General features: G+C 41.1%; 2 protein-coding genes and 1 pseudogene across 30 annotated transcripts in view, besides 1 other annotated feature; all 3 read left to right on the forward strand.

Annotated features, from left to right (window-relative positions):
• The window catches only part of DUS4L-BCAP29 (DUS4L-BCAP29 readthrough), a 59,347-nt gene extending 51,304 nt beyond the window's left edge, over positions 1-8,043 (forward strand). For all 7 annotated transcript variants that reach the window (NR_163940.2, NR_163939.2, NR_163941.2 and 4 more), the window contains one exon: positions 3,054-8,043. Coding sequence is in view for 4 of the 7 variants with exons in the window: in NM_001371364.2 (NP_001358293.1) it covers positions 3,054-3,331 (278 nt within the window). In the remaining 3 variants the exon portion in view is untranslated. The remainder of the gene's footprint in view (positions 1-3,053) is intronic.
• BCAP29 (B cell receptor associated protein 29) overlaps positions 1-8,043 on the forward strand; it is a 43,311-nt gene extending 35,268 nt beyond the window's left edge. For 15 of the 23 annotated variants that reach the window (NR_163935.1, NR_163934.1, NR_163929.1 and 12 more), the window contains one exon: positions 3,054-5,204. Coding sequence is in view for 9 of the 23 variants with exons in the window: in NM_001008405.4 (NP_001008405.1) it covers positions 3,054-3,331 (278 nt within the window). In the remaining 14 variants the exon portion in view is untranslated. Of the gene's footprint in view, positions 1-986; positions 1,116-3,053; positions 5,205-6,355 lie in introns of those variants that run through there. The other 8 variants (NR_163937.1, NR_163933.1, NM_001363483.2 and 5 more) reach the window with 4 other exon arrangements.
• Positions 13,098-14,557, forward strand: WBP1LP2 (WBP1L pseudogene 2; annotated as a pseudogene).
• Positions 23,294-23,443: an enhancer, noted in NCBI's record as "active region_26494". NCBI's record gives its function as "activates an Ori minimal core promoter by ATAC-STARR-seq in GM12878 lymphoblastoid cells {active_cell/tissue: GM12878}" and the evidence as "EXISTENCE:reporter gene assay evidence [ECO:0000049][PMID:35858748]".

Here is a 25,262-nt window from a genome sequence, read left to right on the forward strand (position 1 = left end):
ATTCTTGGTAAAGGAAGTAGAAAGCTTTTAAGAGTGATTCCTGGCTGAGCGTGGTGGCTCACACCTTTCTTTAATCCCAGCACTTTGGAAGGCTGAGGCGGGCGGATCATGGGAGATCAAGACCATCCTGGCTAACAAGGTGAAACCCTGTCTCTACTAAAAATACAAAAAATTAGCCGGGCATGGTGGCAAGTGCCTGTAATCCCAGCTACTCGGGAGGCTGAGGCAGGAGAATCACTTGAACCTGGGAGGCAGAGGTTGCAGTGAGCCGAGATCGCGCTTTTGCACTCCAGCCTGGGTGACAGAGCGAGACTCCATCTCAGAAAAAAAAAAAGTGATTCCTTCCCAAGAAAATAGTTGTTATAATAGTTGTCATACCTGTTTCTGTGGAAAAGACCCCATCCCAGATTATGCCAGACACCATGCCGAGAGTAGGGCCTTGTTTGATAGCACTTCAGGACTTGATCTAATTTCTGCTTGTATCCAGTTTTTGAAATATTTAATAGATGTCATTTGTTGAGAGTATGCTCTGGACTAAGCACTTGGCTAAGGGCTTCGTATATGTTGTTTTGTTTACTCTCCATGACAGCTCAATAATTGAAAGTATTTTAATATCCCTATTTTGTGAATGAGGAAACTGAGACCCAGAGATGTTATATAATTTATCGAAAGTAACTAGAAAGTGATAGCATTCAAAGTCAGAGAATCTTTCTCCAGAACCTCCATCATTAACCACTATGTTCTTTGGCCTTTGCTGATCATTGGATTGTGTTCTTGGATCCATTCTCCTCTCACCACTGCTTTACTCTGTATCTCTGGGAGGCCCGTTTCCAAGGCTCCCTTGCTGTCTGACTCAGTCTGGGCAGGTTTAGCCAGTGGCAGGCACTAGAAGACTGAAGGCAGGAGGAAGGGGAAAGCCAGGGATTTCTTCTACTCTTTCTGCTATAGAGGCCTTCTCCTTTATGACTCCAGTTCCTTCCCTCTAGGTCCCACTGGGCAGCTTCTACATACTGGCCTTCGCACCTGGGCTCCATAACCCTCATCCCTCCAGCCCAAGAAGTGGTGGTGGCTTTTCTGCTATTGATAATCCCAGAGGTGCCTTACCACCCTGTTTGGTGTGTGTACTTTTTCATCACCTGTAAAACCAATTTCCCATAATATCTCTGTTGGAAGGAAAACAAAATCTCAGCTCCATAGTTTACCACTTCTGTAACCCACAGGTGACTCATTTGACATCTATGCTCCTCAGGTACTTTACTACTTAAATAAAGGTTGTAATACCTTATGAAAATTAAACCAGATCCTGTATAAGAAAGCACTTTATATATTTATAATCAAGAATGCTATTTATTATGTCCTGACTGGTTACATTTTTTTCCTTCACCTACCCATCCCCCACCGTTGTCCAATATGAGACCCTGTATAAGATTCTCAGATTTAGATATCATTAAGAGCCCCATTTTGTTTGTTTGTTTGTTTTTTGAGACAGTGTCTCACTCTGTCACCAAGACTGGAGTTCAGTGGCACAATCTCAGCTCGCTGCAACCTCCACCTCCCCAATTTAATCGATTCTTGTGCCTCAGCCTTCTGAGTGACTGGGACTACAAGCACATGCCACCATGCGCAGCTAAGTTGGGTATTTTTAGTAGAGACAGGGTTTCACCATGTTGGCCAGGCTGGTCTCGAACTCCTGACCTCAAGCGATCCGCCCACCTGGGCCTTCCAAAGTGCTGGGATTATAGGCTCGAGCCACCGTGCCCAGCCAAGAACCCTTTTCTTTAACTCTTGTGCTTTAATGTTCGTCTGAGCCCTGCTTGAGAAGCAAAAGATAGTTACAGATCCTCTATGGTAAAAAGCTCTATCAAATTGTCCTCATGAATTTACTTCTGTTGTCAAACTAATCTTAGATATTGAATTATATGCTAAGGTTCTTTGGAACTAGCTTCCTGAATTTTACACAGTTGACATATTTTCATTGGAACAATCATAAAACGAAAGATCATTAAAATATTAAGGAAACAAAGGTTAAAGAGGGAAACGCTGATTTCTTTACTGTAAATAGATCCCAATTTGCATCTTTTAAATCCTTTTGGATTTCCCCATCTGGTCCCCTCCCTGTTATAGGCACTAAATAAATATTAGAAAACAGTCCCTTCAAAACATGTAGTCCTTTCCTTATTTGCCCTGCCTCTCTTCTAAAAAAAAAGAAAAACAGAACTAACTAGAGATTATTGGCTGCACAAACCCATCAGCACCTGCCAGTTTTTAAATTTCATTTTGGAAAATCAGCCATCACTTAAGGGACTTGTCCATAATAGCTTCATTAAAGCTTTGTTTTTTATCAAAAGGGGGCCACATATGTAAACTTGTGGAAGTAATTTACCTCCTCTACTCTTGTCTTTTTATTTGATTGCAAAAGTTAATGTTATTAAAGTTGCTATGGAAGCATTAATGTTCAGCCTGAACAAGAGCTTGACGAACTTCTTTATACAAGCAATAACACTCTGCAACCCCATTTTATGAGATATTTTTCATGATGTAGACATTTACTTTCTTAGCACAAGTGATCTCTTAAGATTAATTTCTTTTCCATTTTCCTTCAGTTTTAAATGATGTAATATAGTAATCTTTATAACATGATCAGCCAAGTATAATTTGAGAAGTCAGTTCTGTTGGCAAATATCTGAAGGACAAAACCAAAGCCACCCTAGCTGAGGTTTTTGTCCCTTCCTTCTTTCATTTACCAAAAACCTTAATTGGGTTAACAGTAGGGGAATTTTAGAAATCATGTTTTCCTAATGTAACCTGTGAAACAAAAGCAAAATAGATTAAGGCAAGGGGAAAAATGAACTTACCAAGAGTGTTCTTTTTCCTAAGTAAAAACCACAAATTTTATAGTTTTTTAAATTTTAGACTTTCTCAATCCTTTTTTTCACATTTAATTATTCTCATAAGTATACATAGAAGAGAGAATGTTTTTTAAAAGTCCTTGTCATGTCTATGAATCTGTTTCTCTTTGCTGTACTACATAAATCATATTTTTTTCCTTACAGGATCGTTTAGAAAGAGGCAACAAGAAAAGACTGTGAACTTTATAAAAGACACTTGCAATATACTGTGTCAAAATGATAATTTTGTTATGTTAGCCTCTAGAAAATTTAAGTTCAGAAAAATGCACTATGACCGGTTCGTAATTTTTTTAATGCCACACATAGGTTGTATTGTAATGGCATTATCAAAATATTTGATGATGTTTCAGATATATTGCAAAGTCTGTATTCCAGCTCTTAAGAAAAATATAAGCATGTTAAATACCATATTTACATATTGATAATGTCATTGGTATATGGTGGCTGTTTACCAATAAAAGGAAAAAATTCATTAACCGGTTGCTTCCAAAATTAGAAGTTTTAAGTTGCATGAAACCATTAATAGCCTTGAAAGCTTTGATAAGTTTTCAGTAATAATAACCTATTTAATCAGATGATGATGTGTTTGAAAATAGTGTTCAATATCAGCAAATTTGTACACAGGGAATGTAAATAAGGATAACTGATCAGAGTTATCCACTGTATTTATAAGGAAGAGTCGGAAAAAACAATGACCTTAGTTTTTTTTAAGCCTGATGATACTATGGTTTACTCTAATAAGATAGCTATATTGATAATTATATTTTTGTTACTGTGCCCTTGCACATTTTGGTCTTTTTGTTAATATTTTTATTAATAACACATAATTAGTAACCACTCTACTGTTTCAAGTTAATCTAGTAATAGAGCTTACATATATTTGTATAACTGCTATACCACTGAACTGAATTTATTTTACAACAGTGTAGAATTCTTGAAAAGTTAACGTAGAAAATATCCAAAAAGCAGTATTTCTAGAAAGTGTCCAAAAAGCAGTATTTCTTTCCCTTGGTTGTGAGAGTAACTAATTATATAAATATTACCTCAAAAATACATACACTGGTATCACACAGTCTTTCTACAATGTTTCTGTATTCTGAAAGCTAAATATTAAGTACTATTTTTCCATTCAAATATTCATTTAGAATTTCCTTTAGAAGATGGCAGTGATTATAATATTAATATGATTTCATTTGTTCCAGTGTTTAGACATGAAATCATCTTCCTTGTCTCATGAAAACCTAAATATAAAAAAAAGGAAAATACTGGAGTTTTTATTTCTCTTGTCTTTGTTACATCCTCTGTTTATTATAATTTTAGCACCAACTTCACACCTAGCTAATTTTTTTCATCATAAAGTGGATGAAATGAGCAAGTACCTAAAAATTTTATTTCAGATAAAAGTCAGGAGTTACTGCTAAAAAACAGACATGTAGGAGACATTCAACAGGAGTATGAAATGAGAGTTAGACCATATGGGCTGACAACACCATAAATAACAAGAAAAGGGAGTGCTGAAATAGGAGAGAACAGAGCAAATGTTAGCTCAAAGTATAGACTTAGAAATATCAAAGTAAGAGCTATCTGGATAAATATATAGATATTGAGTGCTTGGAATCCTAGCCTACTATGTGAAAATTAAGTCTAATGTCAGAATAACTTACAGAAAAATAGAAAATGCACAGCTTTAAAATGGGCAGAGTTAAAATCTATTCCCAGCTTTATCACTTATTTAGCCATGCTAGCCTAGGCCTCTATTTCCTTGTCTCCAAAATGAGAATAATAAAATTTAGGTCAGGATTACTATATAAACTAAGATAATACAGTGATTCTCAAAGTTGTTCAGACTGTATAGTAAGGAGAAAGTCTGGTTGCACTTTGAAGAGCTTGAAGATTTGAAAGATTCCCAAAAAAGCATTTTAAAGTTTACATTTAAGGGACCTTGGACCTCAACCCTCTCAAGTTTACAAGTCTGAAACTTTAGACATCAAAAGTTTGAGCAGTTTTTCCAAGGCAACATTGATAGTTAGATTCAGGGCCAGGCTGTAAGTCTAGAATTTAGATATCCTGATCCCCCAGATACCGCTCTTCTGGTTATACACAGACCAGCTATAATTTGCTAAACATAAAATATTGCAGTGTATTAGCCGGCTGTGGCTCCAGAGTCTGTGCCCTTTACCACCGTGCCCAACTGTTTCACATGCTGTGTTTGGTAGTTTTTCCTAGTACTCTCCTTAATAATGGTGGTGTTTAGCAAATTGTATTACATAAATAAATATTTATTTCATGGATTGAGTTATGTTGCATATTAAATTACTTTCCTTCCCATTGTCAATAATGACTTCTTTATGTCTTAGGCTGTATTATAAATTCAAACACAGGAATGTTATTCTTGCCTTTTTCCATCAGAATTACCTAAAGTTTTATTAGACTTTCCCCCTACTTGCAAATCTGCCTGGAGGTTCTGGTCTTTAGGAAGTAGCACTTAGCAAGTTCTGGATAAGCACTCCAGAATTTGGGATGAGTTATCCTTGTTGTTTGTCCAGCTCTATCTTGGACCCCAGTGCTGCTAATTAGATTCATGCCTTGTTCTTTAGGGCATAAGTTCCTCTCTTGGCTATTTTTCCTAGTATGCTGAGAACTAGGATTCCCTTTCAGTGACAGAGTCCTGCCCTGGAACCCCAATCAAGAGCCTAAAGTTTAACTACTCTCTGAGATATTAGCCTGATGCCAGCAGCCTGCCTGGATCTCTAAATATTACCCATTCTGGGAGTTGTTAGTGGTCTCTGCTTTCCTGCAGTGTCACTCCTGCTTCCTCATTGGGCCTGCTAGCCACAGCTACTTGGATGTACCCGAACCTGTTGCCTTGCCCTACCTCTGTGGGCTGGTTCAGTTCTGCATTCCCATTCCAGTGTCCACTGCCTTCTCGCTATCCCTCCCATCTGTGCGCCACCACCAGCTTATCCCCAGCCCTGCTAACATGACAAACTATTGTGCATTTGAGTGCCCACTATACAATGTGTGAATATAACCGTGCTTTTAAGCATTGACTTTAATGTCTGGGATGATCCGTCTAGAGTCCATGGAACCCTCCTGTGTTTTTTCATCCCTTTCTTAGTAATCTTGGAAATCCACTTATGAAATTCTTTTTCTAACATTTCTTTGCTGAACGGCATTTTTAAAATTACTTTCACGGTGTTTCTTTCCAGTTTGATCTCTACACAAACACAACTTTATTACTTGCACCAGAAATGATTTCAAACACTTTAGGAACTGTGGTAGGCTTAATTATGACTTCCCAAAAGATATCCCTATACCAATCCCTGGAACCTGGAAATGTTCTCTTCTATAGCAAAAGATATGATTAAGTTAAAGTCTTGAGATGGAGAGATTATTCTGGGTAATCTGGGAGTGCCCTAAATGCAGCTACATCTATGCTTATATAGAAGCAAAGGGAGATATTACCACACAGAAGAGGAGAAAGCACAGTGACCACAGAGGCAGAGATTGGAGTGATGGAGCCGCAGCAAAGGAATGCTGACAGCCACCAGAAGCTGGAGGAGGCAAAGAACAGATTCTTCCCCAGAGCCTCTTCCAGCAGGAGCATGGCCCTACAGATACCGATAAAACTGATATTGGACTTCCTGGCCTCCAGAACTATGGGAATAAATTTATTGTTTCAAGCTATCAAGTTTGTGATTATTTGTTACTGCTGCCATAGTAAATTAATACAGGAGCATGCAGGACAGATCTGTAATGGCCTGAACTGAATTTCAAGGGGTGTGGAAAACAGTTACTCTTTAACACCACTCCGTCTTCCCCATTAGCCATTTGGATAAGTCAAAGATAGCCTTAGCCATCTCCTATCTTAGTTACTTTTCTCCTTCAACTGTATTTTGCCATTGTCGTTGCCATTGCCTCTGCCTAACTGCAAGCCATCATCATCTCTCACATGGACTATGACGACCTCCTCATCTCCCTGTATCTTCTCTAATGCTTCTCTCATATACATGCTCTCAGCAGCCACCTGGTTTAAAACAAAAACAAAAAAAACACTAATCATGTCATTCCCTGCTTGTCTTCCCGTTCTTTCCAACTGTCATTCCCTGCTTGTCTTCCAATTCTTTCCAACTGCAGTTAAGATCAAACCACCAAGACCTCACCAGGCTCCCATCTACTTTTCAGCCTCAACTCAGTCCACCTGCTCTGCCAATCACACCTGTTTCTTTTTGTTGTTCTTTCCCTAGGATATAGATCCTGGCATACCTGCATTCTGATTCTTCTTGGAACAAGCCAAATTCTTTCCCCTGTCAGTACGTTTGCATGTGTAGTACATGTTGCATCCCAGGCCTGTCTGCCTTCTTACCCTATTTTATTTTCATCATAGCACTTACTACCATCTGAAATGATCTCATTTATGGTTTGTCTCCTCAGTGATTAACACAGTTCCTGCACACAGTAAATCAGTAGTTCTCAACAGGAAGTGAAGAGGTCATCCTGAGGGGAACATTTAGCAATACCTAGAGACATTTCTGGTTGTCATAACCAGGGGAATGCTCCTAGTGGATAGAAGTCAGGGAGGCTGTTAAACCCATTCCACAATGCACAGGACTGGAACAAAGAATGATCTCTCACTCAGAATGTCAGTGTTGCCAAGGTGGAGACATCCTGCAGTAGATGCTTGTGGCAGAGGGTACTGGTTGTACCCCAGTATCCATTCTTTCATTCACCTGTGTTAATACATGCTCCAGTTTTGTATTTTTTTTTATAAACAGCTGTCAAGCATAAAGATAACATTTTCCATCTCCTTGTATGTAAGTGGAAATAGGACTGTCATGTGGGGCCAGTTTCTTTTTTTTCTTCCTCTGTCCTGCTGCTTGAAACATATGCTGCTATCTTAGATCATGAGGTCGAGGCCATGCAAAGTGGAGCAACAAGGAGCTGTGTCCCTGACGCCATAAGCACCACACCTGTCCTGAATTGCTGTGAATGACACCAGCTAACTACAATGCATTGTCTCAACATCCTAGACATAATAAAAAGCCATAAATATGTTTGTCCTATGCAGCACAAAACCTTTGTATCTTTGCCTTTTATGTTGGGATCTTAATTAAAAATTACATCCTCTACTGTCTCTGCATGCTCAACTTTTTATATTCGACTTAACCATTATTAATCAGCATCATGCATCGCACCCCCACAATAGCTGTGCATTTCACATTATAAAAGTTTACAAATCTCTTCTGCCTCTTTGTCTTTAGTATGGTGTACACCACAACAAGAACAAACACCTCAAGAACATTCAGGCACATTATATATACAAAGATAGCACATAAGAGCTTGATGTGTAAACAAGGTGTGTAAACAAGTTAGGAAGAAGTTTCCAACTTTTTCTTGGCGATCAACTCCTTTCCTAAATTTGAGCGAAGAATGTGTTTGAAGTGTTGGCTTTGCCCCCTAAACTAGGTGTCTTCCTGGTTAGCCAGGCTTCTCTGAAGTCTTTCCTTCAGAAATTGTTGTTCTCCCTGAAGCACCACCCATGGTAAAGAATTTTGGTCTCTCCCAAGGGCTGTCAATTTCCCGGAGCACAAAAGACCCTTACAGCACCACTTCTCAGCCAAGGGCTTCCTGGAATAATCCTCCATAGAGGTTTACTTGCTGAAACTTTCTCTTTTTAAGTTTGTTGGTTTTTTTTCCTCTTGAAACAAAATTGATACATAGTAAATGTAGAAATGAAAGAAAAAATAGCTGTTTGTCTAATTTTTATATATATATATATATATACACACAAATATTTACAAAAATAAGATCACACCTATTTTTATGCATACTGTTTTGTGACCTGCTTTTGTTCCCCCTACATCAATATTCTTCTGCAACAGAATTCTACAAACAACTTCTCATAGGTCATATACACATCACCTGGGGGGTTCGGTTTGTTTAAAGCACAGGGACTCATATGCCCTGTTTACCACTACCACCGGTGAGAATTCCTGCCCCAGGTAACAGTGTTAGTAATGAGACTGCCATAACCATCCAGTATGTGAGAGCAAAAAAGGTGGATGAGACCCATCGTCCTATGACAAGGTATTTACCTTATCCCCTGTTGGTGACATTTCATGAGAATCTTTATTGGCAGAAAATGCTCTGGAATCAGTAGAACATAGTGGTTACATGCGTAGATTACCTGTGTCCAAATCTCATCTGCTTTATTTATTACCCATTCAGCATCTCAGTTTCTTCATCTTTAAGGTGATTTAGACTCTAAAGTCTTGCTGATGAGACTAAACGAGTTGATACATGTTAAGAACGTTTAACAGTTTCTCATGGTAAACTATTCTGAACATTATACAAAGACTGATGCCCAGTCATAAATTTCCCCATCTAAAAACAATAATCTAATGGAATTTTAAAATGTCTTAAAAATAAAAAGTGTACTGGAGATGGATGGTGGTGATGGTTACACAACAATATGAATGTAGTTAATACCACTGAACGATACATTTAAAAGTGGTTGGTTAGTACAACCTCTTTGGTATTAACTACTAGTATTAACCACTTTTAAGTGTATAGTTAGATGGTATTAACTACATTCATATTGTAGTATTAACCATATTAACCACTTGTAAGTGCATTTTACATCATTGAAAACATTGGGAAACAAAAGGTGGACCCCCTAGTTTTCTGGAATGAAAATGCACAGTGTTGAAACTGGTAGATAGTTAAGGATGCCTTTTTTTTTTTTTTTTTTTTTGAGACAGAGTTTTGCTCTTGCTGCCCAGGCTGGAGTACAATGGCACGATCTCAGCTCACTGCAACCTCCATCTCCCAGGTTCAAGTGATTCTTCTGCCTCAGCCTCCCAAGTAGCTGGGATTACAGGCACCCGCCACCACGCCTGGCTAATTTTTGTATTTTTGGTAGACACCAAGTTTTGCTATGTTGGCCAGGCTGGTCTTGAACTCCTGACCTCAGGTGACCCACCCGCCTTGGCCTCCCAAGGTGCTGGGATTACAGGCGTGAGCCACCGTGCCTGGCCTGAGGATGCCTGTTCTTAACTGTGATCAGTCATTCCCCTGCCACCCCTCTTCTTCCACCTCAGAGAAAGCACAGAGCCCCATTTGCTCAGGTATGCAACTAATGTTTGCTTATCTGGATTGAATTCAGTTCAATTCTAGTGTGTCAGATTCTTTTCAGGTGACTCTTCCCATTCCCCATCTTCAGAGTGTGTCCTGTTGTCTTAAGATTATGATAGGATCAGATGCAATTTTGACCAACATTCTTAAAATACATCCAGACATGGATGTATTTCACTTCAAATCCCATTGGCAGATTTGATATTATGAAAGGGCCTGGGTCTGAGGTGTTTTGTTAGTCACTTGAACCTTAACTGCAACTTTTTTTTCCTTTCTCAATGATTAAAATAATTACATATATATGTATATATGCACATATATTATGATGTTTTTACATCTTTTTTTTTTTTTTTTTTGAAATGGGGTCTCGTTCTGTTGCCTAGACTGGAATGCAGTGGTACGATCACAGCTCATTGCAGTCTTGGCCTCCCAGGCTCAAGTGATCCTCCCACATCAGCCTCCTGAGTAGCTGAGACTACAGGCATGCGACACCAAGCCTCTTTAAATTTTCTCATTTTTTGTAGAGATGGGGGGGTTCTCACTTTGTTGCCCAGGCTAGCCTCGAACTCCTGGGCTCAAGTGATCCTCCCACCTCAGCCTCCCAAAGTGCTGGAGTTACAGTGTGAGCCACCAGGCCTGGCCTATGTCTATTTAAAAAAGAAAAATGCAGCTAGGCGCAGTGGCTCATGCCTGTAATCCCAGCACTTTGGGAGGCCAAGGCAGGTGGATCACTTAAGCTCAGGAGTTCGAAACCAGCCTGGGCAACATGGTGAAGCCCCATTTCCACCAAAAATTAGCCAGATGCGGTGGTGCATGCCTGTAGTCCCAGCTACTTAGGAGGCTGAGGTGGGAGGATTGCTTGAGCTTGGGAGGCAGAGGCTGCAGTGAGCCATGATTGCACCACTGCACTCCAGCCTGGGTAAAGGGGTGAGACCCCCATCTCAATAAAAAAAATAAATAATTAAAAAAGAAAAAGGCAAGGGCAGAGTGGATCTCAATATTTGGGGCCTAGAGCAGATACAACTTGGGGAGTTCTCTATAAGGAAAACAATACAAAATTACCAAAACAAAATTAGGTATGAATTTATTCAGAATAGGAACAGAAATCGCAACAAATAACTGGAGGTTTGGAGATTCAGATACCTTTCTCCTAAGATCTCTTGGGACAATTCATCAGGGATGCTTCCCAGCTGCAACCTAGCTTCTCCTTTCTACCTAGGACACTCTACAACTCCAGTATTCTTGATACCTGTGTACCAAAAGCCCTGAAGCTTCACTATCATTATTTCCATATAAATCTTCCTCTAGATAAGGAATGGGAGGGCAGAGTTAATATAATCAATCTGTTGAAAACCTCAAAAATTTTTTGGAGTTTTTTTTAATTTTTTTTTTTTTAGTTTTTAATTTTTTGTGGGTACATAGTGGGTATAGATATTTATGGGGATACATGTGATGTTTTGAAACAGGCATACAATGTGTAATAATCATACCATGTAAAATAGGATATCCATTCCCTCAAGCATTTATCCTTTGTACAAATAATTCAATTATACTCTTAGTTATTTTAGAATATACAATTAAATTATTTTTACTATAGTCACCTTGTTGTGCTATCAAATACTAGGTTCTATTCATTATCCCTATTTTTTTGTACTCATTAATCTTCTCCACCTCCCCTCTACCAACCCCTACTACCCTTCCCAGCCTCTAGTAACCATCCTTCTACTCTCTTTCCTTATGTGCTTGTTTTGGTTTTTACATCTCACAAATAAGCGAGAACATGTAACGTTTGTTTTTCTGTGCCTGGCTTATTTTCACTTAACATAATGACCTCCAGTTTCATCCATGTTGTTGCAAATGGCAGGATCTAATTCTTTTTTATGGCTACGTAGTACTCCATTATGTATATGTACCACATTTTCTTTATCCATTCATCTTCCAACGGACACTTAGGTTGCTTCCAAATCTTGGCTATTGTGAACAGTGCTGCAACAAACATGGGAGTGTAGATATCTCTTTGATACACTGATTTCCCTTTTGGGGGGTTATATACCCAGCAGTATGATTGCTGGATCATATGGTAGCTCTATTTTTAGTTTTTTGAGGAACCTCTAAACTGTTCTCCATAGTGGTTGTACTAATTTGCATTCCCTCCAACAGTGTCCAAAGGGTTTGCTTTTCTCTACACCCTCTCCAGAGTTATTGCCTGTCTTTTGGATATGAGTCATTTTAATTGGGTTGAGATGATATCTCATTGTAGCTTTGATTTGCATTTCTTTTATGATCAGTGATGTTGAACACCTTTTCATACGCCTGTTTGCCATTTGTATGTCTTCTTTTGAGACATGTCAATTCAAATCTTTTTCCTATATTATAATTGGATTATTAGATTTTTTTCCTATAGAGTTGTTTGGACACCTTATATATACTATTAATCACTTGTCAGGTGGATAGTTTGCAAATACTTTCTCCCATTCTGTGGGTTGTCTCTTCACTTACTGATTGTTTCTTTTGCTGTGCAGAAGCTTTTTAACTTGACGTAATCTCATTTGTCCATTTTTGCTTTGGTAGCCTATGCTTTTGGGGTATTACTCAAGAAATCTTTGCCCAGTCCAATGTCCTGGAGAATTTCTCCAATTTTTTCTTGTAGTAGTTACATAGTTTGAAGCCTTAGATTTAAGTATTTAAGCCATTTTTATTTCATTTTTGTATATGGCAAGAGATAGGGAACTAGTTTCATTCTTCTGCATATGGTACCCAGTTCTCCCAGCACCATTTATTGAAGAGACTGCCCGTTCTCCAATGTATGTTCTTGGAACGTTTGTAGAAAATGAATTCACTGTAGGTGCGTGGATTTGCTTCTGGGTTCTCAGATTTTAAGGTAATATGAATCATACTTTTTCTTTAATTTATAGTGAGTGTATTCATTTCCTATTGGTGCTTTCACATATTACCACAAACTTAATGACTCGAAACAACACAAATTTATTATCTTACAATTCTAGCAGTCAGAAGTCCAAAATTAGTCTTACTGTGCTAAAGTCAAATTGTCGGCAGAAAAAAGCAGGAACAAGGAAGAAGAGGGTAGAGGAGGAGAGGGAGGAGGGAGGTGGCAGTGCTGTGGCAGAGGGACAGGAGCAGGAGGGGGATGGAGAGGAGAAGGTTCCTAGGTGGCACAGTGCTCCTGCTCCTCCCGGCGCTGCCCAGCCCCCTGTCAGTGAGGGCTGAACCCCCACAGGATAAGGAAGCCTGAGTGCATACCAATAATCAAAGCTACATCTGTGACACAGGACACTGCTGTGGACAGTCTCAGTGCTGCAACTACTGCTAGGAACTCTGGTAGCTCTGGCTGGTGTGGACCATCATCATCATCCTTAGCTGCTGCTACATTGGCCACCACCGCCAAGCCAAGCACCGCCTTCAGGCCCAGCATCGGCAACATGAAATCAACCTGATCCCCTGCCAAGAAGCCTTCAATCACTCAGTGCTGCCTTTTTATTTCAGGTTTTTGCTAAACTACTTAACTACCTCCTTATGAGGAAGTGGTGAGCCAGCCTCCAACTCCTCCCCCAGCATACAGTGACTTCCAGCTACGCAGCAGCAGCAGCTCCTGCCTCCACAGTGAGGCCTGGCAGATGGCAGTCCCCCAGCGCCAATCCCACCAGGGGATCCAAGGGAATCCCTTGTCTGAGCCCAGCAGAAGCATCACAAGACCCCCAAGCATCGCTGATCCTGAGCCCTCTGACCTACCAGGTGACCGAGTAGCCACCAAAGCCCTGGGGATGCAGCCCAGTGGCTCTGTAGCCAGCCTGGGAGAGCTGGACCCAGGGGCCTTCCTGGACAAGGAGGCAGAATGTAAGGAGGAGCTGCTGAAAGATGACAGTTCTGAACATGGCAGCGCACCGCCCAACAGCAAAGAGAAGATGCTCAGGAGACATTGCCACTTCACTGGTGACGCGGGCATTGAAGTGCGTATGTCAGGGCCACCATGATCATAGCCTTAAAGAGTTCAACATGCTCATCGCTGATGCACTGGATGGGCCCCTGGACTTCTGCGACAGCTGCCATGTGCAGCCTCCTGGTGATGAGGAGGAAGGCCTCTTCCAGCCCTCCAAGGAGCAGGCTTGACAGCCTGGGCACCTGCACCTGCCACAGCTACCTGCATGCCTGCTGCTAAACATCATCAATGAGCAGTACTCTCCCAACTCCCAGAGCAGCAGCTCCCGCAGCTAGATCAGGCTCTGCCAGCACCCAAGAACTTGGCAAAGCAACCAGGGTAGGGGAGAACCACGAGAGAAGCATTAAATGACTTTCAGAGAAAGTGGTACAGCCACTTGATTCCTTTTTTTTTTTTTCTTTCTCCTCTCCTGCATTTTCCTCCATCTCCAGGTACAGTTTGGGGTGTGGATGCCTCTCGCCCTACAAAGGCACAATGTTGTGGAGGGCTGAGAAGTTGGTTCTGTTTCTCGTTCCTCATACCCCATCCCTATCCCCTTTATTCTCCCTTTAAAGTCCTATCTCACCTACCTGTTTGGGTCAGAGAGATGTGTTTTAAAGGCCCCCAAGGAAGGAGGCTGGGACTGTGCCCTGAGATGATTCTTGGTGACGAAGTGGATTTGTGCTCTGAGTTTAGTTTAAGAGAACGTCACTGTGTCTCAGTCCCGGAGAGGCAACCCATCTTAGACCTGGGTGAAGAAGGAAGCCTGCAGAGGCCTAGGCTTTGTCGCCTGTGGCTCCCAGTGTCTGCAGAGCCAGCATTGAGCTAATCCTGTGGGAGGATGAGAGCTGATCGGCAGTTGTATGATAGGTTGGTAGGGGGCTTGTGATCTGTGAAATTCCAGGTGATGGATGCATCCAGTGTGCATCACTAAGAGGCCCTTTCCCAGTGGCCTCTGGCTGGCTGCAGGCTGGTTCCAGTGTGAAAGATTATACTGCCTTTTCTTTTTTTTATTTTCCTTTTGAAAACAGACAACAAAAGACAACTGAAAATAACTTCCCCAGTGAGCAGGCAAGAATTCTCTTCTGAAAAATGACGTTTGTAGTTCTTTCCCAAGTTGGCCTTCAAAGAGCCTGGCTGCAGTTGAGCCAGAAGGAGATGTCTTGTGTGAAGGCTAAAGTGGAGGCTGTCTCTGAAATCTCCGTGAGCAGGTGGCCCTAAGCCATGGTGGTGGATAGATGTGCAGCTTTCTGCATCTCTGCCCCTTGGTCTGTGCCCACAGGTGGCCGGCGTCAGCCTCCATCCCGAGCACATGCTCCGCGGGTCTTTATGTCTCACTGTTCTTCACACATAGGAGGAAAGAGATAGGAGACTGAGGAAGGGATGGACCCTGAGAAAGGGCCCCTCCAGCCTGGCTCTCACACAGTATTTTGTCTTTGATTCTGAATAAATTTTTTTTTGTGGTTTGTCTTTTGGTTTTTTTGCGGGGATGGATGGCTGGTCGTTGTCTGTTTTAAACTGACCTCTTCGAAGAAACACCTTGGTTATCTGTGGTTTTCATGTTCTGTCCCTGCCCCTGTCCCCACTCCTTTTGAGTGGGGCAACTCATTTTTTGTGTAAAGAGTCTCTCAGATAGGAGGTGAACACAGCCATCTGGAAGACCCGCAGGATCCTTGTGCCTGTTGCTTAGCTTCGGGTCACCAGCTGAGCTGTGATAGGAATAATCTGAATGGAGGCGGCAAACAGCTGAAATGAACATTCCTCGTGCAGCCCTGTTCACATGAAGAGTCTGATTTCCCCTACCCTTGAACAATGATGATATTCAGACAAGGCATTGACGTTGTGGTAAGAATATATATATATAGAAAAAATACATGTCCCCAAACAGACAAATCCAAGGCTGTGAGGTAAATTAGTGCATTTGGATTCCACAAAACCAAAATCCATGTTGAACAGAGTGAAGTCCGTACACTGTAACTTTTTGGGTGAACCCTGCGTGCCTGTCCATTGTGTGTGACCCCGAGCCCTGTTTCCCTAGGAAGATACTTTGAGTGACAGCCATTCTCCTCAGGCAAACCACATGTCTGGAGCACAAACGGCCCTCTCTAAGTAACTGATGTTACGCATTTACTGTTTATGGGGCAAATGTCTGACTATGTACTCAGGTGTATTTCACAGCATTGTGGACTGACTGCAGGCCCCTGTGTTTGCCAGAGATAACTGTGCTCAACATAGAGGTTTTACTCTACTCACCACTGCAACTTGCACACTGCTCCGGGGACACATGGGAGCCTGTGTTCTGTTCCCTGTAAATGGAAATGTGCTCTGAGCCTGTCTGCCTCCCTCGGCTGTGCCTGGTCCTCTGTACCAGCCCCTAGGGGTGTCCACAACCACCTGGGACAGAAGAAGGTGGAATTTCAGACAGAAGCTTGATTGAGTCTTCAAAGACAGTCTTGGACTAGCTGTGGCCCAGACCTCGGCCCTGCCCAGAATTGCCAGGAGGAGGCTTTGAGGGCACTGGGGGTACTGCAGGGCCTGCCTCCCTCTGCCGAGTCCAGTGGGCACAAGCAAGCTGGCATGTGGCCAAAGGTGGCTGGATTGTGTCATAGCCCTCAGACGCCTTTCCTTCCACCTTTTTAAAGAATCCCAAATAACTCACTGAAGTGTCTCAAAGGCAAACAAGTTCTACCAAAATGAATCCTTTTTCAGTGAACAGATCAAATGGATGAATTCTGACTCTCTCAAGTTCCTTTCCCCAGTTAGAGTGGGGAAGTGGTGGAGTGCTAACTGTGTGATTCATTGCAGTGTCCTACCCTAAAGGCACAAGAAGATGGAAATGCAACCTGTGGAGCTGGCCTTGATTCTCAAGTCGCAGTCTGGCCCCCGCTACAGGAGGCTACCCCGCTCAGGGAGAGATTTAATAAGGAATTGGTTCCGGGGCCGGGAGATGTGATTGAGACTGGTTTTCCAGCTGAATGAGATGGAAGGGGTTAGTGGAGGGTTTGATGCTACAGCCAGTTGAGAGATTTGCAAATGCGAACACATTCCTGTGTGAGGCACATTATCCTTTGTCAGTTATTGTGAATATGTGTATTTTAAGCAGTAAGGTGCTACTGGTCAGACTTTTCTAGGCAGTCTTGGTGATGCATTTCCTGTGCTGAGATTGTTCGGAAGAGTGACTATAACCACTGTGAGGAGCCCAAATAAAAATTGATCCCCCCTCCGCCCCAAAAAAAGCTGTTAGCAGAGCTGGTTCCCTTCAGGAGCTTCTAGGGGAGAATCTGTGTCCTTTCCTGCTCCAGTGTCTAGAGGCTAACCGCATTCTTTGGCTCATGTTCTCCTTCCATCTTTAAAGCCAGGAAGAGATGGTCAAGTCTTTCTGACATCATATAACTTTGACAATAACTCTTCTGTCTCCCTCGTCCACAATTAAGGATCCTTGTGACTACATTAGGCCAAGCAGATGACCCAGGATAATCTCCCTATTTTAAAGTCAGCTGATTAGCTACCTTAATTCCATCTGCTACTTTGATTCCCCTTTGACATGTAATTTGACCTACAGATTCTGGGGATTAGAATGTGAACATCCTTGGGAGACCATTGTTCTGTCTATCTCAGTGGGTAAGTTATTTGAATGCTAAATGCTTTTGAAAATGCTTTCTGCAATCAGAGTCCCATAACTGTTCTTGATTCTTGATTTGGAGAGTTTTTATTTTTAATTGGACTGTCTGTGAGGGAAGCAGAGGCATAGTTCTAAATTTAAGAATTGAAATGGAGCAAGTAGCCCCAGTTCAGCATGCCCAGAGTCTGCTGCCTTTGGTTTTTCCAAAAGAAGGCAGCTGCAAAAAAATCTCTAAACACTATAAAATATACCATAAAAAAAGCAGAATTGCAAAAAGATGGCTAATTGAACACACACTTTCACTCTCTCCTAAACTGCACTGAAACTATGGTATGGTAAAGGGTTTTTTGTTTTGTTTTGTTTTGTTTTTGTTTTTGTTTCTTAAGCATAAACCTATAAGGATACAGTGAACATGAGAAGAAATAGCACCAACTTTTTGAAAGCTACAAAACAGATAACAGGTGGTATGGACTTGGTAAAACTGATGAAAAATTGAACTCTTTTTCCTCCTTGGTTCCAAGAACCAAGTCAATTTAAACCACCAAATAATCAAGGCTCAGGCATTGAAGGCACAACTACTCCTAGAAAAGAGGGGCAGGGCTGTGAAAGATGAAAGAAGGTTGGTTGAAAGCTGTTGGAGAAGCAGTTATATCCCTAGATGCCCCTCTCTTCCTCCAAATGCTGGGTGATTTCCTTCCCTCACCCCAGCAGAAGACAGTCTTCCTCTTTGAAGAGGGTAAAACAGAGGGTGTGTTTTAACAAACAAAAAACAGGAGGGTTAAGTAAATGATGTATGCCTACTAAATGCAAAACTTCCTCCTCATCTCAGAATGACGGCAGCAGTTATTTACTTCCAGGCAGAACACCAAATAAGTCTTTTGTAGGTGGGAATCTATCAGACCCAAGAAGAAAGATCCAAATACACTCACATGGATGTTGACATCAGGGCTTCCCCAACCAAAGGCCCAGGCAGCTCACCCTACAGGAAATCTCACCATGATCAAGCCTCACCTACTTACTCAGTTTCCAGGCAGCTCTTGAAGCCTCCACTTTTAAATATGAGCAGGTAATCAAGCATGAGAGATTCGAGAAACACCTGAACAGGAAAAAAAAATATATAGTGAAAACAGAAAGCGTGCGGGAAGAACAACAAAACTCTCAATGTCTTCAGAAACGTCATGAATTTTTATTACAATGCACTCATGAAATCAGAATTGAAAAGTATAAAAAAAAAATTTCAGGTTGCTCACACCTATAATCCCAGAATTTTGGGAGACTGAGGCAGGAGGATCATCTGAGTCCATGAGTTTGAGACCAGCCTGGGCAACAGAGTGAGCCCCCATCTCTACAAAAAAAAGAACAATAATAAATTAGCAAGATGTAGTGGCACATGCCTGTGGTCCCAGCTACCCAGGAGGCTGAGGCACTTGAGCCCAGAAGGTCGAGACCACAGTGAGCCAAGATCACACCACTATACTACATCCCAGGCAACAGAGCAAGACCTTGTCTCATAATAAAAATGGAAAAAAAAAAATCAGAAAGTAAAAAAGAGCCCTCAGGAAAAAATAGGTCTCACTAAATCCTCAGCCCAATGCCCAAAAATAAACTGTCTTATTTTGTTTGTGCTGCTATAACAACATTCCTGAGACTGGGTAATTTATAAAGAACAGAAATTTATTTTCTCTTAGTACTAGAGGCTGAGGCATCCAAGATCAAGGCACTGGCAGGTTTGGTATCTGGTGAGGGCTGCAAAAAAGGACAGACTTCCTCCATCAAGCCCCTTTTTCAGTGCATCTAATCCCATTCACAAGGGGAGGAGCCCTCATCACCTAAGCATCTCTTAAGGGCCCCATCTCTTAACACCATCACCTTGGCCATTAAGTTTCAACACCTGAATGTTGGAGGGGAGGGGACATATTCAAACCATAGCATAAAACCCATACTGATGAATAACGCACAAAGAGAAAATTCTACACATTTCCAGAAAACACAACACGCAAAGGTTGAGGTGAGGCATCTGAACAAGTTCAGATTTCCCAAAAGGAACTCTGGAAGATAGAAGACAGTAAAACAATGTGATATGGTTTGGCTGTGTCCCCACCCAAATCTAATGTTGAATTGTAGCTCCCATAATTCCCACGTGTTGTGGGAGGAACCTGATGGGAGATAATAGAATCATGGGGGCTCTCCCCCCCATACTGTTCTCATGGTAGTGAATAAGTCTCACGAGATCTGATGGTTTTATAAGGCGTTTCCCCTTTCATGTGGCTCTCATTCTCTCTTGCCAGCTGTCATGTAATACATGCTTTTCGCCTTCTGCCATGATTGTGAGGCCTCCCCAGCCATGTGGAACTGTGAGTCCATTAAACCTTTTTTTCTTTGTAAATTATCCAGTCTCAGGTTATGTCTTTATGAGCAATGTGAGAACAGACTAATACACAATGCTTTCAAAATTATCTCCAACCTAGTATTCTATGGGCCAGTCAAGTTGCAAATCAAGTATGAGTGAAGAATCATACTTCAGGCTTGCAAGTTCTCAAAAGCTTTACCTCCCACATACCCTTTTCTTGGGAAGCTAGTGGATAGAGGATGTACTCCACCAAAAGGATGGGAAAATATTTGAGAAAGGAGATCTACACAGAGAGAGGCAGAGGTCTACAGGATGTTGGTAAAGGGAGACTGTTAGCTGTGAAACAGCTCAGACAACTTTGGGTGGGGTTTTTTTCTAGAACATGAAGTTTATCAGATACCTGATGTGAATCAACATACTGAAAGACGTAGGGATAAGCTGGAGAATTGGGGTTGAATAGTGATAGATATTACTGGTCTCAGAAAAGAAAGCAAGTAATGCAAGATGAAAAAACAAACAAAAAAACAAGACAAAACTCAAAAGAACAACCCCTCACCCCAAAAAATGTCTAGCAAATAAAAAGTAATAGTGGTTTACCACACACCTTCATTCTTTTTTTTTTTTTTTTTTACCTTTTTCTTTAAGCAGTAGAGACAATGTCTCACTGTGTTGCCAGGGCTGGTTTTTATTTATTTATTTATTTATTTTTGCCCCATTGCAATCAGTGTGCACAGGCTTCTTTCTTTCTTTATTTTTTTGAGATGGAGTCTTGCTCCGTCACCCAGGCTGGAGTGCAGTGGTGCAATCTTGGCTCATTGCAACCTCTGGCTCCATGGTTCAAGTGCTTCTCTTGCCTCAGCCTCCTGAGTAGCTGGGATTACAGGCACACAGCTCCATGCCTGGCTAATTTTTGTAATTTTAGTAGAGATGGGGTTTTACCATGTTGGCCAGGCTGGTCTCGAACTCCTGACCTCAAGTGGTCCTCCTGCCTCCGCCTCCCAAAGTGCTGAGATTACAGGCAGGATACACTGCCCTGGCCTACAGGCTTCTTTATATAGGTCATCAGCCTGTATTCACATTTCCATCCATTTCTAATGTAATTACATTAACATTACTTTAGCATATGACTTTGCCTTTTCCAGAACTCTAATTAAGATTTTAAATAAGATGTATGCCACTGGGAATCTCTCATTCACGCTTGTTAAACACCTTTCCTGTTTGATTATAATTTCACTTGCTAATTATTTCTGACTTTGGTTTTCCAAACTTTTCCTTTTTATGACTTAAACACAGTTTGAACTGGTGCAGCAAATCACTTACAATCCAGGTGTAAGATAGATTGGCAAACTAAATAGAAAAGAAGACAGTCATTGGGTGGAAAACAGTGACCAAGTTTACCTCAGTCAATCTGTTTATTAAAAGAACTCATAGGCCAGGCAAGGTAGCTCACTTCTGTAATCCCAGCACTTTGGGAGGCCGAGGCGGCGGATCACAAGGTCGGGAGATCGAGACTATCCTGGTTAACACGGTGAAACCCTGTCTCTACTAAAAATACAAAAAAATTAGCCAGGTGTGGTGGTAGACGCCTGTAGTCCCAGCTACTTGGGAGGCTGAGGCAGGAGAATGGCGTAAACCCGGGAGGCAGAGTTTGCAGTGAGCTGAGATCCAGCCAGTGCACCCCAGCCTGGGTGACTGAGCGACACTCCGTCTCAAAAAAAAAAAAAAAAAAAACAGAACTCATACTGCTGAGCATGGTTGCATATGCCTGTAATCCCAGCTACACAAGAGGCTGAAGTAGAAGGATCACTTGAACCCAGGAGATTAGCCTGGGCAACATAGCAAGACCCCATCTCAAAAATATAAATATGTAAAAATAAATAAAAGGACTTGTACTTTTTAATAAGCACTCACCATGTGCTAGGTTCTGATTGCTTTATCTACTTCTATGCCATAAACTTTTTTCAAATTTATTTTGCATATTTTTAGATGCCTGCTATACACTGATCCTTGTGATAAGAGCAGCCAAGGTTCCTTGAGCACTCACCATGTGCTAGGGTCTAATTGCATTATGAACTGTTTGTCATTTAAATATTGCAGCAAGCCCATGAAGCAAGTAGTAATATTACCCCCAATTTTCAGATAAGAAAAATGAGGCATAGAGAATGTGAAAATAAATAAAATTTAAAAGCTCTTGGAACCCCAGAGAACACATTAAGTCTTGAGAGATGTGACTGTGATCTCAGCCATGGAGCATGGAGTTGTAATTTCTGCTCCTTAGATTATAGATTAACTCTCTTCTTCAGTGTTCTTCTTCTGTAAATTATGAGGAGAGACAAGAGACCAGACCTCCTTCTAATCACTGATCTTTGTGATAGATTAACTGCCTCCTTTTTTGTACCTGTATTAGTCTGTTTTCACCCATTATAAAGAATTGCCCAAGACTGGGTAATTTATAAAGAAAAGAGGTTTAATTGACTCACAGTTCCACATGGCTGGGGAGGCCTCAGGAAACTTATAATCATGGTAGAAGAGAAGCAGGCACATCTTACATGGTGGCAGACGAGAGAGAGAGAGAGAGAGAGAGTGTATGAAAGGGAAAGAGCCCCTTATAAAACCATCAGATCTCATGAGAACTCACTCACTATCACAAGAACATCATTGGGGAAACTGCCCCCATGATCCAATCACTTCCCACTAGTTTCCTCCCTTGATACATGGGGATTATGGGGATTATAATTCACTATGAGATTTGGGTGGGGACACAGAACCAAACCCTATCAGTACCTAACTCAGTTAAGGTAGCACTAATTACCTCCCAAATTTTATATCTTCAGTGTGGAATGTTAAATAGACCTTTCCTGAAAAGAAAAATATTACCTTGTCTAATTGGATTACTGTAACTATACATTCAGCCATATACAGAAAAATATTGAAATTCTGTTAAGCTTTCTAAACCTTATCTATGTTAAGTGACCTCAAACTTCTACACTTCAAAGTGCTGACTTCCATTCTTTGGAATCTGTCTCCCAGGCCATCTTCAAACTTTGTACTTGAATAAACTCTCTTCAAAATTCAAAATAAACTCTCTTCAAGTCAAACTAGATTCTGACGCTTATTTCAAGTTGACATTTTGGCAACCATGAAAGGACCTAAAGCAAGCCTCTGTTGATTCCCCACTGCATTGCCCACAGTTAGGATCCTGGTACCAGCATGAACAGTTTTCATTCACTTGGCTTCACTGGAGCCAGCAGAGGGTCTCCGGTGAAGACCCTCTCAGGTTTTGAATCTCCCTGATTTGGGTTGAGAATCAGACTTTACTCAAGTGACCCAATTCCACACTTGATGGAGCTGGAATTGAAGCTCTACTTTAAGGTAAGAGTTTTTGTCTGTTCTCTAGATATTCTTCTGTTCACAGATTTGTGGTTTTCACTTTTCTCTAAGGTTAAGTGTTATTTGTAACTGCTCATTAACATTTGTACAGCTTTTTCTCTCATTTGAATTTTGGTCAGGGAAAGAAAGTTTCTCTCTCTGAAAAGAGGAAGTGAATGTGGCTTAAGCAAAATTTGCATAAAAGAAAAAAACCTGGCTAAACTCTGAAGCTTGGTTCATTTGACATATCTAAAGTTGTTTTGTTTGTTTCTGAGTGACCAAAAAGAAAAACTTTCTATGAGGATGGCCAGGTGCGGTGGCTCATGCCTGTAAACCCAGCTCTTTTGGAGCCCTAGGCAGGCAGATCACTTGAGGCCAGGCATTCAAGAACAGCCTGGTCAACATGATGAAACTCTGTCTTTACCAAAAAATACAAAATATTAGCCGGGTGTGGTGACATGTGCCTGTAATCCCAGCTACTCAAGAGGCTGAGGCAGGAGAATCACTTGAATTTGGGAAACAGAGGTTGCAGTGAGCCAAGATCATACCATTGCACTCCAGCCTGGGTGACAAAGTGAGACTCCGCCAAAAAAAAAAAAAAAAAAAAGAAAGAAAGAAAGAAAGAAGGAAGGAAGGAAAAAAAAGAAAAGAAAAGAAAGAAAGAGAGAAAGAAAGAAAGAAGGAAAGAAAGAAAGAAAGAAAGAGAAAGAAAGAAAAAGAAAGAAAGAGAGAAAAGCTTTCTATGAGGATGAAGATAAGTACCAAAGATAAGGGACACTGTTTCTCCTGGCCAAAAGGCATCTTAGGCTAATAAGGTCTTGCGGGAGTGTCTGAACTCATTACTCTTAACATGCAATAGTACTGTAGGGAGTTCTCAAAGAAGAACACACAGGAAATCTTGCTTAACCTGGTGGGCACATATGAAGGGCTGATCTTCTAGTGCCTTAAGTGCCCAGGATTCCTGGCTTTCACCAAGACAGGGAAGAAGAGAGAAGTGATTCACTGGTGTCACCTCAAGGAATAATCCCCATTAAGCAACATACCAGATCAAAAACATCTTTCCCATTTCATCTTTGATCACTTAAAAAGAGAATCCAAATTATGGGCAATCATCCATCTAAAACTGAGTCTTCCTTTTTAAGGAGAGATCCACCTTTAGAAATTCCAGCTGGATTCCTGTATAATATTGTGGTGCAACCTCCAGTCAATATCTAGAAAAGTTGTCTTTCTTAACCCATGAAGACCCCAAACAACAATGACCAAAGTGGGCTATCTTTGAAATACCTAAATTAGCTTATTTATGTGCACAATTAGAAAAAGCTATTTCTAAAATTAAAGAAAATAATTGGGAGAGTTACTTCTAACAGTACTTAGAAGCATCTGAAAAGCGCTCTGACAAAGTTCTTCCTCTACAGGAAGAAAATTAAAAGCCCTCTAAAACCATTTCTAAATTAAAAAAAAAAAAAACTGCCAAATCTTTTACTCCTCCTTCTGCTTCCCCAACTCTTTATTCCCCATCTCTTCCTCATCTGAACGACACTGCCCAGCCTTTCCTTCTTTTCCTCCCCTTCCCCTTCTTCCCACTCCTGTTGTTTTAGCTACATTTTGTGAATGGCTGGTATCTGGTAGAGGAGAACCTGCCTTAACTTATCAACTATGATCAAAGGTAGACATTAAAGGCATAATTAAGGAATTTCCTCATCCCCACCAAGACCCTATTGGTTTTGTCAGGAAATTTGAACTAAATATTCAAGTTTACAACCCTGATTTTTCCAATTTGTATTAAGTAGTTCACATGTTAGTATCAGAAAGTAAAGCTAAAGATTGGAAGAGCTAAGGCAAATTGGAGGAACCACTTGAAGGACTTTCATACATTTTCAGAAGACCACAAATGTGACCATGAGGTTTCAAAGGCTTTGCTCAAGCCACCCCTTCATTTGA

Source organism: Homo sapiens, chromosome 7 (assembly GCF_000001405.40).
Source record: "Homo sapiens chromosome 7, GRCh38.p14 Primary Assembly".
Taxonomy (NCBI): Eukaryota; Metazoa; Chordata; class Mammalia; order Primates; family Hominidae; genus Homo; species Homo sapiens.